The sequence below is a fragment of the Homo sapiens genome, chromosome 3, assembly GCF_000001405.40.
Source record: "Homo sapiens chromosome 3, GRCh38.p14 Primary Assembly".
Classification (NCBI taxonomy): Eukaryota; Metazoa; Chordata; class Mammalia; order Primates; family Hominidae; genus Homo; species Homo sapiens.
This window is the reverse complement of record NC_000003.12, coordinates 126023750-126039066: the sequence shown is the minus strand read 5'-3', so window position 1 is coordinate 126039066 and position 15317 is coordinate 126023750. Positions and strand designations below refer to the sequence as shown.

Here is a 15317-nt window from a genome sequence, read left to right as displayed (position 1 = left end):
TTCCAATTATTGTGGAAGCTGAAGGGGAGCCAGTGTGTCACATGGTGAGAGACGGAGCGAGAGGGAGGGAGGAGGTGCTAAACTCTTAATCAGCTCCCATGTGAACTCAGAGCAAGAACTCACTCATTACCATGAGGAGGGCACCCAGCCAATCATGAAGGATCCACCCCCATGACCCAAACACCTCCCACCAGGCCCCACCTCCAACACTGGGGATCACATTTCAACATGAGATTTGGAAGGGATAAATATCCAAACCAGATCATTCTTTCCCTGGCCTACCAAATATCTTATTCTTCTCCCATTACAAAATACAATCATCCCTTTCCAGTAGTCCCCAAAAGTCTTAACTCATTCCAGCACCAACTCAATCAAAAGTCCAATGTCTCATCTGAAACCGAGTGCACATTTCTTCCACTTATGAGTGATTTACTCCCAAGATGCAATGGTAGTACAGGCATTAGGTAAACATTCTTATTCCAAAAGGCAGAAATCAGTTGAAAGAAAGGAACAACAGGCCCCATGCAAGTCTGAAGCCCAGCAGACAGGCATTACATTTTAAAGCTCCGTAATAATCTCCCTTGACTCCATGTCCTGCGTTCAGGGCACACTGGTGTGAGAGGTGGGCTCCCAAGGCCTCTGGACTTCTCTACCCCTGTGGCTTTCCAGGGTGCAGCCTCTGTGGCTGCTGTCATAGTGGGAATTGAGTGCCTGCAGCTTTTCCAGGCACATGGTACAAGCTGGCTGGTGGCTCTACTATTCTAGGGTATGGAGGGTGGTGGTCTCCTTCCCAAGCTCCACTAGGCATTGGCCAAGTGGGGGCTTTGTGTGGCCTCTAACCCCCATTTCCCCTTGATACTGCCCTAGTAGGGTTTCTCCGTGGGGGCTCTGCCCCAGTGGCAGGCTTCTATCTGGGCACCCAGGCTTTCACATACATCCTTTGAAATCTAGGTGGAAGCAGCCAAACCTCCTTCACTCTTGCATTCCATGCACTGACAGACTTTACACCACTGGGAGCCACCAAGGTGTAAGACTTGCATCCTCTGAAGCAGCAGCCGAAGCTGTACTTGATGTTCTTTGAGCCATGGCTGAAGCTGGAACAGCCAGGGATGTTGGGAGCAGTGTCCCAGGGCTGTGTAGGGAAGCAGTGCCCTGGCCCCAAAACCATTCTTTCCTCCTAAGCCACTGGACCTGTGATGGGAGGGGCTGCCTCAAAAATCTGAAATGCCTTCAAGGCTTTTTTCCCATTGTGTTGACTATCAGCACTGGTTCCCTTTTCTCTCTAGAAAGTGGTTGCTCTTTAGGCCCCTTTGATTCCTTTTCTACCACAGGACCAGGCTGCAAATTTTTCAAAAATGTATGCTCTGCTTTTCTTTTAAATATAAGTTTCAACTTTTAGTCATTCATTTGCCCCCACATCTGTTTTTAGGTTGTTAGAAGCAGCCACACCACATCTTGAGAAATTTGCTCCTTAGAAATTTCTCCTGCCTGATACCCTAAGACAGCACTCCTAAGTTCAACCTTCCACAAATCCCTAGAGCCTGGGCACAGTGCAGCCAAGTTCCATGCTAAGGTGTAACAAGGGTGACCTTTTCTCTAGTTCCCAATAACTTTGTCATTTCCACCTGAGACCTCATCAGCCTGGCCTTCTCTGTCCATATCTCTATCAGCATTTTGGCCAAAACCATTTAACAAGTCTGTACGAAGTTCCAAACTTTCCCTTATCTTCCTGTCTTCTTCTGAGCCCTCCAAATTCTACAGGCTGTACAAGAATCATAGTGGTGGCATCTGCTTCTGGGGAGGCCTCAGGAAGCTTCCATTCATGGTGGAGGCGAAGGGGAGCAGGCATCACATGGCAAGAGAGGGAGCAGGAGAAGGGAAGGAGGTGCTAGACTCTTAAACAATTAGCTGTCATGTGAACTCAGAGTGAGAATTCACTCATTACTATGAGAAGGGCACCAAGCCATTCATGAGGGATCTGCCCCCATGACCCAGACACCTTCCATCAGATCCTACCTCCAATACTGGGGATCACATTTCCACATGAGATTTGGAGGAGACACACATCCAAACCATATGCGTGACTGTCTCAGGTTATATAAGTATTATCAGGAGAGGTTGGGTGCAGGGTATGTAGGAGCTCTCTCTGTTGACTTTGAAACTTTTCTGAAGTCTAAAATTATTCCCAAATAAAATGTTAAAGGATTGTCTTACCCCAATCTGGAAAGGAGAAGGATAGCAAAACAGATGTTCCATCTTCCATCTTAATCCAGTAAGTGTATTTTGTTATTAGAAAAAAATACAGAAAGTAATGACAAATTATGTGAGTGAGCTAAATATCCTTCTGAAGGGATGAGTCATTGGATAGGTCAGGATCCTGGCAGGAGAGAGGTGATATACAGGTGGGCAGTGAGCGGAGTTTCAGGAAGGGTTCATTCAGGAAACCAAGAAGAGGCAGCGAAGCACCCCAGGACTCACACCCACAGGGAGTGAGTATCACTCCAGTTCTCAAGGGGCAGAGGGAAGAAAGGCAGTTTCCAGATCCTGGCGGGTGGGGTTGGGGCTGTGCGTGTAGCTGTAGGTGAAGGCTGACCCACCAGAGCTGTGGGTTTGGGTGGAAGATTACAGCCCCTGCCCCATAGGAAGGGTGCAGGGGTCATACACCCCAAACTCACTGTTGGGCCTCCAGTATCCTCCCAATGGCTCCCCATTGGCCAGAACCAACCAGAAGTGAAAGGGCAAGGGGGGTGTGTTGAGCTTGTTGATGCCATCCTTACAGGGCAGCCTCACAGGCCCAGAGCTGGTGCAAGGGAGAGCAGGCCCGAGGCGTGCATGGAGAATACTTGGCGCTGGCGCCCCGAGTCAGTGAAAGCAGGCTGTTTTACGTAGACAATAAGGAAAGGCTTAGAAAATCTAGAACGGAGACAGGATCCTGTGAGATTTTTCGTAGAAGCCTGGAATTGTCAGATTCAAAGAAGTTTTTTAAAAAATTCAATGAAATCTTAAATGCACATCGAGGAAGGGCCTCTGTGAAACCCTTCTATTGAGGAAAATCTGGGTTGCTCTCTGTAGATGCTCCTGCCTCCCACTGGTTTTCTCTTTGAACTCTTCATTCCTATTCAGACTGGCCCCATGCCTGCAGCTATTTCCCCTGATATCTCTAGGACCTCCATTCCAGGGCAGAAAAATATCCCTACCTGATGGAGACCTGCTCCCCCGAGAGCCCCCTCGTGGGTGGCGACAAACACTCCTTCCTTGACCAAACCCAAGTCAGGCTCCTCTGAGCTGTCTTCTCCACTTGCCTTCTGGCTCTGTTCTAGAGAAGAGCCCTGCTAAGCCGGTTTACTGGAAATCCCCTACCCTGATATCCAGCCAGGCTCTTCTTCTCCACTCTTGGTATCTGATCATAGTGCTCCCTCCATCCTTGATACCCAACTGAATTCACTTAGTAATTTCCATCGGCTCCCTTGCCCTGCGCATTGGCTTTTCACCCTCAGTTATCCCTGTAGTGTTCAGCGTTGATTTCGCTCTTTCTCCCTCATGGCAATAGTCTTGGAGGAGGTCCTCTGCTGTTTTTGACAAGCGTCAGGATTGTTTCTCTTAGGTAGCGGTCTGTGTTCCTCCACCCAAACCCGCAGCTCCTGTGGCTCCTGTTGGCCTGGCTGGCATGCTGCTTCCTGTCTGTCCCATCTCGCCTCCTTCCCTCCTCATCACCAGCTTGGTCAGCCCTGGGAAACGTAGTGTTCAGTGGTCTTCTCTATACTAAATCCCACCACCATCCTGGAAGGTTTCAGCATCCACAGGGATGACTCATCCACAACCCAAGCCTCCGAGTTTTTGGACAGCTCAGCTCTGGTGAGTGCCACCTTCAGTCCACTCCAGCCACCCTGGCCCAGAAATACTCTGGACACTCTGAAATCTTAATCCCTTTACACCCTACCTCTTGCCATACTTCTTCCCCTCTCATGTCTCTCTCTCCCACCTCTGTGGATGTCTGAGCTCCTCAGCCTCCTGCCCTCACCGCTTTACCTCTTGGTCTCACTTCCTGCTTTGTGCAGCCTTCGCTCAGTGATGTGCTCCTGGATGCCAGTGATGGACTCAGGCTCACATGCACAGCAAGGGCCAGGCTGCCACGTGGGCTGTACAGGCTATAGATGTGTACTTTTATTTTAACTGTTTTATAGATGATAAAAAATATTTTGAGAAAGGAGTGTCTTTTCCGACTCATACTCAGAAATCATATGGGCCAGCACAAGTCCCTTATCTGATAAGATCAGCACCCAGGTTGGAGCTGGTTGATTAATAGAAAACATGAGTTGAAGCAGCAGACAGGCACACTTAGGTCTCAGTGAACACACAGTGCAGCTGCAGAGCAGAAGAGGGGTGAGTCATTGGCCACTCGTGCTCAGCACGCCCTGGGTTCCACTGAGTCTCTACCCTGCCTCCTTCCCTTACTGTTCAAACAGGGACACCTGCGGTGGGTGTCATATCTACTCAAGAGTGGACTGAGGCCTAACCACAGTCAGGTGCCGCATCCCAGATGTCAGTCGTGCTGAAGACAAAAAGGCTCCCCTTCTCTGTGAAAAGAAAATGAATTATCAAGTGTGTTAGCAGTAGGCACATTTTTATATTTTTCTCCTTGGAGTTCAGGAACTTAATGAACTGAGTTTAAGGAATCTAGGAAAATATATTTGCTTTGAAAACTTTTCTGATTTATGTCTTGAATTTTGTTGGTAAGTGTTATGCTGTTAGGAGCCAAAAACCATTTTTAAAGGATAAAGTCATATTTATGATCTCAGTTTTTTATCCTAAGAGAAGAGAGACTTATATGTGTTCCTTAAATGGGATGATTTTGCCAAGGTGACATTGAGCGGATTGGTGGTCATTGGAGATAAGGCTAGCTTCAGGGTAGAGGAGGGTGTTGTAGGTGGCAGGGGGACCTGGCCAAAGACTGGGCTTCACAGTAGGAGGCCTTGACTGAGGTCTGCACATGAGTTTGAGAGCTAGAAATGGCCTTCAAATTGCTGGTAACATGAATGCCTGTGTGTGTGCATGCATGTGTGCCTCTATGCATTGTGTGGCTGTGTGTGCCTGTGTGTGTACCGCTGTGTGTGTGCAGGTGGTGCAGTCATATGCTTGCATGGTCATGGAGGACTGATCCATGACCCCCATCCAGTTCTCAAAGGGGTCTGTGCCCTAACGTTTCTCCCCACTCCCCGTATAAGAAGGCCAGGTCGCTGTTTGGAGAGCTGAGCAGAGGAATTTTTTTCTGACGCTGATGAAATGGTATTTGTTGATTTCTTCCCTGAGAGACTGCCTTTCCCAGGAAGGGTTGACCTGGCTTTGGGCCTAGCCAGTCCTACCTTTGTCCTTTTCTCTTCATTCTAGGCCAACACTGGACAAATTGATGACCCCCAGGAGCAGCACAGAGTCATCAGCAGCAACCTGGCCCTCATCCAGGTGAGTCTTCACCTTGTCCGACCCTCCCTTCTGAATCTGCAGCCAGGCTTCCCCAGGTGGGAAGGGTGAAGGCTAAGCGAGCTCTTGTCCCTGCACTCTGGCCTGAACTTTGAGAACAGGTAGCTACCTGTCCCTCCCACATCCAATAGACCACATTCACGCAGCTTCTGGAGGCTCAGCCCACCTGAAGCAGACCCAGGGTTGTCCCTCCAGCTTCCCCACTCCCTCCTTTCCAAGCCCCACTTCTTGAAAGACTCACCTGTACTTGCTCCTTCTCTGTCTCATGGACTGCACAGTGCTAACAGGCTTCTCTTGCCTCTAATTGTGCTTCTCAGGCCACAGGTGTTCCCCTAACTGAGGCAACCTGTAATTGCCTCTTACATGTGATCTTACTTTTTCTGGGCATCTGTAGATCCTTCCTGCCTGGAAATCCTCCCTTGGCTCTGCTCCTGCCTCTCTGCCTGCTCCTTCTCAGCCTGCAAGAGACATCTTAACCCCTTAGCTGCTTCATGCTCCTCTCACTCACACATCCTTCTCCTTCTCCCAGGTCCCAGTTCCACTGAGCTCTTATCCTGGGACCTTGCCACAGAGTGTCACTAAGTTAGGAGGCCCAAGGCAGGGGGAGATGAGGAAAAGATTGGCTCAGAGGCAAGAGGAGAGGCTGGGCCTGGACATAGACAGGAGGTAGCTTTATCCTAGACCCTTCTGGGCCTCTCTGAGTTGGGGTGGTCTGTGACAGCACTGAGAATATGGACCCTGAGATCAGATCAGCCCATTGTTTATCCACTGGATAGCCTTGAACAGGGCTGACTCCCCCATCCATCACATTAGAATGATACCTACTTTATCCCGCACCTGGGTTCCAGAACCAGTACATCTAACTGTACGGGGCATCTCCATCTGCCTGTCCCAGAGGCACCCCCAAAACAGCCAAGTCTGGCCTCATTGTCTTCTCTCCCCATACTCACCTCTGCTAAAGTCCCCAACTCAGTCTAGTGTGATGGTTGAAAGCTCACTTTGGGAATCAGCCCACTGAGGGGCCTCAGGCAAGTCACTTCACCTTACCTGTGCAGGGTTGTTGTGAAGTTGTCACCATGTCAGAATGTGGCATCTGGCTGGCACCTGGACATCACCCTGTCCTGTCAGCTGTGCCTTGTGGATGGTCCTTCCCAGTAACCACACCAGAAACCAAGTCACCCCAGCTGCTTCTCAGCATGCAGTCGCTTTGAGGCTTCTGCCTCCGAGTTGTGCATGAATTCCGCTTCTCCTCCTCCTCCCCTGCCTGGATAGTGGCAGACCTCCACACTGCTCTAGGCACTCCCAGGCCAGGAATCCTCCAGCTCCTCCTGGCCACCTGGGTGGCCTTTCTAAAACCCAGTCAGTTATGCCTCCTCTCCTTCACTGGCTCCTCTCGTCCAACTGTGGGCCTGGCCGCGCTGTCTTACCAGCTTCCTGCCCAGCCCCCACCCCTTCACACCTCCCTGCCGTGCATCTTCAGCCACCTCTCCTGGGAAGGTCCTTTCTCCTCTAGTTCAGCTGCCAGTGAAGTTCGTTAAAGGCTCCACTCAGGTGTAAGTTCCTACCTAACACCAGGTGTATCTCTTTCTGCCTTTTACGTCTTTGGTGCCTTATGCATGCTGCTGCGGCTGCCCTGATTGTAGTTGTGTGTTTACATGTCTGCTGCCCACAGCTAAGCTGAGTCTTACGGGCTAGCACCATGTCCTGTGGCTGAGGAACTGCAGAGTTGAATGAGATGCTGGGGATGCCTCTAACACAAGGTCTAGCAAGGGGCAGGTAATAAATGCCTCGACTACAAGTCACACTGGTTGTACTTTGCTGTTTTCCATAAAATCTTTGTCCATATGGATGTGCATTTCCACATAATTGATTCTCAACATATGTTTATGAAGCCCTGCTCAGGGACAGGCACTGGCTTGGTGTATAGTCCCAATCCTAGCATGAATGTAATTTTGTCTCCTCCATTTTTAAAAAAGCTTAATTAACTCTGAATCATCAGCAGTGCAATAAGTTTTATTCATTGGACTTTTTAAGAACTTCAGCATATTCTGTCGTATAAATGTGGGGAGGCAGCAGTGACCAAAGGGCAGCCACTAAGAGCCGGTCCCCTGGGAGTCCACTCAGCACCAGCCCTGCCCACTTCCCTGAACCCTGCCACTGAGCGGGGCCTTGAGGTCTTCCTAGCCTTTGACTTACTTGAAAGATTATACTGCAATGAAAGTATCTTTGTGCATGAAATTCCTAAGATAACTTCCCACAAGTTCAAAGGGTATGAACAGTTCAAAGCTCTAGATTTCCCTCCAAAATGACTAAAAATTATTTTATTTCTTAGTATTAAATAATTAGCCCTACCATTAATATTTGAGCAATATTTGAATCAGTTTCTCTATAACCTCATTAGCATTGAAAATGTTCTTCTAAACTACTTTTTGAATTCACCATATAAATGTGTGTGCCCATAGATAATATATATGGTTTTCTGTATTGTTTAAACATAAAAAGTTTTACACACATAATTCTGTGACTTGTACTTTTGTCTTAATAACGACTTATTGAATAAAAATTACTTCGAGCATGGCAGATAGCACTCAGTAAATATCAGCTGTGAATGCTTTGTACAAATACACAAATGTTTCTTTTGAGAAAATGCTGAATCAGAAGGTATATAGATAAATTGTAGCCAAAGTTTCCCCCTAAATTCCTGTACCAACATTGACCCCCTTCAATGTATAAGAGAACCATTTTCTCACATACTTGTCAATATGTATTTTATATTATCAACTTTTTAAATTTTAATCTTACCTAATCTGATGAATAAACAAAGTATATCTTGTGCATCCATCCATCCATCAACCCAGCCACTCACCCACCGACCTACCTGTCTACTCATCCATTTGTCCATCTGTTTATTTGTCCATCCACCCACCCATTCACCCACCTACCTATTCACCCACACATCTGTCATTCATCCATCTGTCCATTGAGCCTGTATAAGTACCTGCAGAGTGCCAGGCTCTGTGCTCAGAACAGGAGACCCCAGTAGAAAATAAGACAACACTTACCTTTTAAAAGAGGAAGAACAGCATCAGCTGTTAATGAATAAGATACCTTCAAATGGAGATTTTATTTAGAATTTTCCTAACTACTAGAGAAGTTGATCTTTATGCACGTCTGTTATCCCTTTGTATTTTCTTTTCTGTGAGTTGCCTATCCATAACCCTTGTGCATTTTTCTAGTTAGTATCTAGAATAATGAAGTCCAGTGTATAAATGGACTTGTGTATATATGTATAATATATATATAATTATATATTATATATCATATATATTATATGTTATAAAGTTTTATATAACTTAATATATATTGTTTAAACATAAAAGGTTTATAATATACATATATTGAGATTTTATTTAGAATTTTCCTAAAATATAATAACATATATAATATATATTATACATATTATAATTATATATTCTGTATAATATATATTACATATGTATTATATTTATTTTATTTTTTGAAATAGTTTTTATGTTCAGGGGTATGTGTGTGAATGGTATGAAGTAGGGACCCATATTTTTCCCAAACCTAGATATCCAGTTTTTCTTACCCTGTTTAATATTTACCCATTCCATCCTGATTTGCAATGCCACCTTTATCCTGCTATATATTCATGATTACATTCTTATATATTAAATTTTCATATATTCATGGTTCTTTTATGGGGCTGTGTTCTGTCCTGCTGATCTATTTGTTTCTGTCAGGACCACACTGCTTTCATTCCTTCAGCTTTAAAATACACTTTGATCATGAGTATGCCACAACTCCCTCTTTGACCTTTCTCAAAGCTGTCTTAGCTATTCTTGCACAGTTACTCATTTTTGTGAAATTTAAAATGAGTTGTCAAGTGCCGTGAAAGATCTTGTTGGGACTTTGACTGGAATTACATGGATTAACTTGGGGAGCAATTTTTAGCTTTAAAAAACTAGCTCTTTGTATTAGTTCATTTTGCATTGCTATAAAGAAATATCTGAGACTGGGTAATTTATAAAGAAAAGAAGTTTAATTGGCTTATGGTTCCACAGGCTGTACAGGAAGCATGATACTGGGATCTGCTTGGCTTCTGAGGAGTCCTCAGGAAACTTCCAATTATGGTGGGAGACAGAAGGGAAGCCAGCACTTCATGTGGCCAGAGAATGAGCAAGAGAGTGGTGGGGGAGGGAGTGCCACATACTTCTAAAGGACCAGATCTCAGCAGAACTCACTCATTGTAGATGACAGCACCAAGGGGTCACCATGAGAAACCACCCCTGTGATCCAGTCACCTCCCACCTGGCTCCACCTCCAACATTGGGGATTATAATTTGACATGAGATTTGGTGGGGAAACAAATACAAACTATATAATTTCACCCCTGGCCCCCCAAATCTCATGCCTTTCTCACATTGCAAAATATAATCATGGCTTCCTAACAGTCACCCAAAGTCTTAACTCGTTCCAGCATTAACTCAAAAGTCCAAAGTCTCATCTGAGACAAGGCAAGTGCCTTCTAACTATGAGCCTATAATATCAAAAACAAGTTAGTTACTTTCAAGATACAGTGGGGGATACAGGTATTGGGTAAATACTCCCATTTCAAAGGGGAGAAATCAGCCAAAGGAAGGGGTTATGGGCGTCATGCAGAATTGAAACTTAGTGGGGCAGTCATTAAATTTTAAAGCTCCCAAATAATCTCCTTTAACTCCATGTCTCACATCTAGGGCACATTGGTGCAAGGGGTGGGCTCCCAAGTCCTTGGGCAGCTCTGCCTCTGTGGCTTTGCAGGGTTCCGCCCTGTCTGCTGCTCTCATGGGCTGGTATTCAGTGCCTGCAGATTTTCCAGGCTGATGGTGGCAAGATGCTGGTGGAGCTACCATTCTGGGGTCTGGAGGATGGGGACCCTCTTCTCCCAGCTTCACTAGGCAGTGCCCCAGTGGGAACTGTGTGGGGGGCTCCAACCCCACATTTCCCCCAACACTGCCTAGTAGAGGGTCTCCATGAGGGCTGTGCCCCTGCAGCAGGCTTCTGCCTGGATAGCCAGGCTTTTCCATACATCCTCTGAAATCCAGGCGGAGGCTCTGAAGCCTCAACTTTGCACTCTGTGCAACCGCAGGCATAACACATGTGGATGGAACCAAGGCTTATGCGTTGCATCCTCTGAAACAGCAGCCTGACCTATATCTGGGCCCTTTTGAGCCATGACTGGAGCTTGAGCGACTGGGACATGGGACAGAGTGTCCTGAGGCTGTGCAGGGCAGCAGGGGCCCTGGACCTGGCCCATGAAACCATTCTGTCCTCCTAGGCCTCTGGGCCTGTGAGGGGAGGGGCTGCCAATAAGGTCTCTAAGATGTCTTCTAGGCCTTTTCCTATTGTCTTGGCTGTTAGCACTTGGCTCCTTTTTATTTATGTAAATTTCTGCAGCCTGCTTGAATTTCTCCCCTGAAAGTGGGTTTGCCTTTTCTACCGCATGGCCAGGCTGCAAATTTTCCAAACTTTCACTCTCTGCTTCCCCTTTAAATATAAGTTCCAGTTTTGCATCATTTCTTTGCTCATGCATATGAGCATAGTTTATTAGAAACAGCCAGTTCATATCTTGAATGTTTTGCTGCTTAAAAATTTCTTTCACCAGATACCCTAAATCATCATTCTCAAGTTCAAAGTTACACAGATCCCTAGGGCAGGGGTATAATGCAGCCAAGTTCTTTGCTAAAGTGTAACAAAAGGAACCTTTGCTCCAGTTTCCGAAAAGATCCTCATCTCCATCTGAGACCTCATCAGCCTGGCCTTCACTGTCCAAATTATTACCAGAATTTTGGTCACAAACATTTAACAAGTCTTGAGGAAGTTCCAAACATTCCCTTATCTTCCTGTCTTCTTCTGAGCCCTCCAAACTCTTCCACCCTCTGCTCGTTACCTAACTCCAAGGTCGCTTCCACATTTTCAGGTATCTTTATAACAGTGCCCCACTCTTCAGTACCACTTTTCTGTGTTAGTCTGTTCTCACAGTGCTATAAAGAAATATCTGAGACTGGGTAATTTATAAACAAAAGAGGTTTAATTGGCTTACGGTTCCACAGGCTGTACAGCATGGAAGCATGATGCTGGCATCTGCTTAGCTTGTGGAAAAGCCCCAGGAAACTTACAAGCATGGGGGGAATGCAAAGGGGAGTAGCACTTCACACAGCCAAAGAAGGAGCAAGAGAGAGGAACGAGGTGCCACACACTTTTAAATAACCAGAACTCATGAGAACTCATGATCACCGATGACTTCACCAAGGGACAGGGTGGGGGGTGGGGGTGGCGGTGATGTTAAACCATGAGAAACTGCCCCTGTGATCCAATCACCTCCCACCAGGCCCCATCTCCAACATCGGGGATTATAATTCAACATGTGACTTGGTGGGGCTACAGAGCCAAACCATATCACTCTTCTCCCCCTACATGGTGGAGCTCTTTGTTTCTGTGTCCTTCTTTAATAACGTTTCCAGGTCAGCATTTTGGATTAGAGGTGCCAGTGTCGATGTCCAGATCAGGGCAGCTCCTGGCGCAGGCTGTGGTGTGTGTTTGGCAGGACAGAGATGGGAACAGAGCCTGGAAGGGGAGGGTGTGAGCAGGGTGCCAAAGGAGAGACCAAAAGTGTGTGAAGTCCTCCCGTGTGACTGCTCTGTGTCGTGGGGTACACCACATGGCAAGTGAGGTGTGTTGTCTGCACTGCCGGGAGTTGCAGAGGACTTCTGCTCAGACCAGTGAGAGTGGAGTTGCCAGCAAGATACCAGGTGGCCCCTGACCAAAGCCTGAGCAGATGATGGAGAAATAGATTCTGCTCTTGAAGGCAGTGCCTAGCAAGGGAGCAGAGGTGGCCAGCGTGGTTTCGGAGGAGTTGAGTTCAAGGCAGGTGTGGGGTGTGGTATTAGTTTTTCCTGGGGTGAGGGCCTGTGAGATTTTAGGGTAAGGGAAAGGAGGCAGTAGCATGTGGCACCCGGCCCCTTGCGGTGAGTGAGGTGTGAAGGGCAGGGAGTGTGGCTGTGGCCCCGGGGCCCCCCTTCATGCTTCTGATTTCTGTCCAACAGGTGCAGGCCACTGTCGTGGGGCTCTTGGCTGCTGTGGCTGCGCTGCTGTTGGGCGTGGTGTCTCGAGAGGAAGTGGATGTCGCCAAGGTGGAGTTGCTGTGTGCCAGCAGTGTCCTCACTGCCTTCCTTGCAGCCTTTGCCCTGGGTGAGCCATGCCCCAGCTGTGAGCCCCCACCCGCTCCCTGCTCCTCTGAGGTCCCACCTCAGAGCTCATTGTGTTTTCAGTTTCTGGGGGTGTGAGTCCCACTGCTAATGGGACTGATGGTGGGCTCAGGGTTCTCACTGGCAGGGTGGGACGAGCCAGCTGGGTCTTCATGGCCCACCTTGTGCCCTCACCCAGGCAGGGGTGTGTGCCGCTCCTGCCACCACTCGCCTCTGCTCTCTGCTGTGTAAAGACCTGTCCCTGCTCTGCAGGTCTCTTCAGCTGGTCACACTCCCGTGCTGAGGCCTGACACCTGCACAGAGCAGGCTTGTTCATCTGTGCAGTCAGCCTGTTGGTTTTAAACACTTATTGAGCATGACCTTACACACAGGCCTGTGATGGGCTCTGGAGGCTGCAGGTGTCCTGAGGGTAAGGCACAGATTTGAGCTTCCTTTTCATGTCTTCAGAGAGGCCTTTCTAACCTGTCTGAGGAGACTGTGGCTGCTGTGACGGAGCCCCCAGTCAGCGGCTTGGCAGCAGCAGACATTTACTCCTCGTGGGGCTGCAGGCTGGAGCCCGAGGTTGGGCGTCTGCGGGGCTGGGCTCACAGCTGCTCCCTTTGAGGCTGCAGTCGGCCCTTCTCGCTGTCCTCACACAGTGGAGAGAGGTGGGAGCTCTTTGGAGCCTCTTTCATAAGGGCCCTCATCTCATTCGTGGGGCCCCCATCCTCATGACCTCACCTCCCAAAGGCGCCACCTCCTCACCTTGTGGGTGAGGATTTCAACATGTGGGTTAGGGGGACAGCAGTGTTGAGTGCACAGCACCACACTCCCACATGCACCCACGTCCTCTCTCCCCTTCCCATGGGCCCCGGCTCTGCTTGTGTAGCTCAGATTGTCTTGTTGCATCATCTTGCTGCCTCACCTCCCTGCTAAAATGTCAGCTCCTCAAGAGTGGGGACCCAGTAGTTCCCACCTGCTGTCTGCTGCTCCTTTCTCATGCCAAACACAGCTGGTGCTTAACGTGTATCTGCGACACACGGGAGACAGATGCGGGCAGACATACCCCTTCCTTGGGGCTCGCACATGTGCAGGGAAAGCAGTTGCCACACGTTGGCCACGTTGCATGGTTGTCCATTGGTGATTCAGTTGTTGCTGGGTGTCTGCTGTGTGCCTGGCACGGTGTAGTGCTGGGGATATACTGTCAACAAAATGTGTTTTGATTTTATATTCTAGCTCAGGGGCAGACAATAAGCTTATGAATATACAGGACACTAGAGTGAGTGCCACATGTCGCTTTTGTCCTGAGGCCTCCTCTGACCAACACTAAAGTGACCATTCCAGCCATGCTTTACGTTAGTGTCCTGTTTTACTCACCTCACCTCAAATGTGTGTTCACACATGTGTGTACTGTCTCTCCCCACACCCGACAGGCATTTCCACTGATGGGAACAGAGCCTTTTGGTTATTGTCATCACTTAAACCAGGGCCAGGCTTATAACCAGCTTGCAGATGTTCGCTGAATGAATGGACTCTCCTCCAGCTCTCTCCTGGGTCACGTGTCTTTGTGAATCTTCCAGACCACGTGCCTTGCTTTGGTTCAGTGAAAGAAGGAAAAGTTGATAACTTCATAATTGAACCTGTGTTTATACATCCATTCCCCCACCTACTTGCTCAGTCAGTATCCTCTGGGCTCAGCTCTCTGTGGGTTACCCATGTGGGCTATTCTCATTCCTACCAGGCAGCTAATCAGGCCCATTCCTGTGCCAGTGCATGGAGGGTGTAGGCCAGAAGAGGACTGTGCCAAAGCAGGCTGCAGGTTTACAAACCACGTGTCCCTGCTCAGGGTGTTGGCTGAGGCTGGCTCCTAGTCACAGCCTGCGCAGGCATGGACGGATGGTGGATGCCATGACCCAGCCTGGTCCACAGATGGGGCGGGATGAATGTGCCAGACTTTCCAGAGAAGAACAGTCCAGGAGACCCTCAGCATAAAGTCTCCTGAAAACAACACAGTCTGACAGTCCTGAAGGCCAGCCCTGTCTTTGCAGGGACTTGTAGAGAACACCATTCCCAGCTCCCCATTTTACAGAAGGGAAAACTGAGGCCCAGAGATCGGATGAAGCTTAGCAACACAAGCAAAATCTGTATTGTCCATGGCTGTTCAGAAGCATTGCGGTTACCTCACCAGGCAGTGTTGAAGAGGCTATCACAGAAGCCTCAGGGTAGTGGTTTTCAATAGGTGCCCCCAAACCACTGGTGTTCCTTTAAATGGTCCTTGCAAGATTGTCCCCAGCTCACTGAATCAGCGTGCGAACTCGGATTCACTTACAGCTGGCATTCAAAAGGAGACACAGGGCTGTGACTTGTTCACAAGATCAGGCAAGGCACAAACCAGCTTGTAGTGGCAGCTTGAGGATGGCATCAGGTGGTGATTGTAATTATTTTTAGAGTTACAAGATCCTGGGTAAAGTGTTAAAATGCCAATAGCCACAACACAGAGTATCTTCTTAGAGAACCAAGTGAGAGTCTGTTGAGTCAAGTCCTAGGCTGTGGATGGGGACTAGGAGATCACATGTGATAGTCCCCTTC

At 48.2% G+C, this 15317-nt stretch overlaps 1 protein-coding gene across 27 annotated transcripts in view, besides 1 other annotated feature; it reads left to right on the top strand.

The window, feature by feature from the left end:
• The window catches only part of SLC41A3 (solute carrier family 41 member 3), a 95164-nt gene that overhangs the window by 62454 nt on the left and 17393 nt on the right, over positions 1–15317 (top strand). For all 27 annotated transcript variants that reach the window (NM_001164475.2, XM_005247563.3, XM_017006707.2 and 24 more), the window contains 2 exons: positions 5389–5460; positions 12588–12732. In NM_001164475.2, the coding sequence (NP_001157947.1) occupies positions 5389–5460; positions 12588–12732 (217 nt within the window). The remainder of the gene's footprint in view (positions 1–5388; positions 5461–12587; positions 12733–15317) is intronic.
• Positions 13294–13794: an enhancer, noted in NCBI's record as "H3K4me1 hESC enhancer chr3:125744116-125744616 (GRCh37/hg19 assembly coordinates)". NCBI's record gives its function as "activates a minimal SCP1, AML or CMV promoter by ChIP-STARR-seq in primed H9 embryonic stem cells {active_cell/tissue: H9 hESC(primed)}" and the evidence as "EXISTENCE:reporter gene assay evidence [ECO:0000049][PMID:30033119]".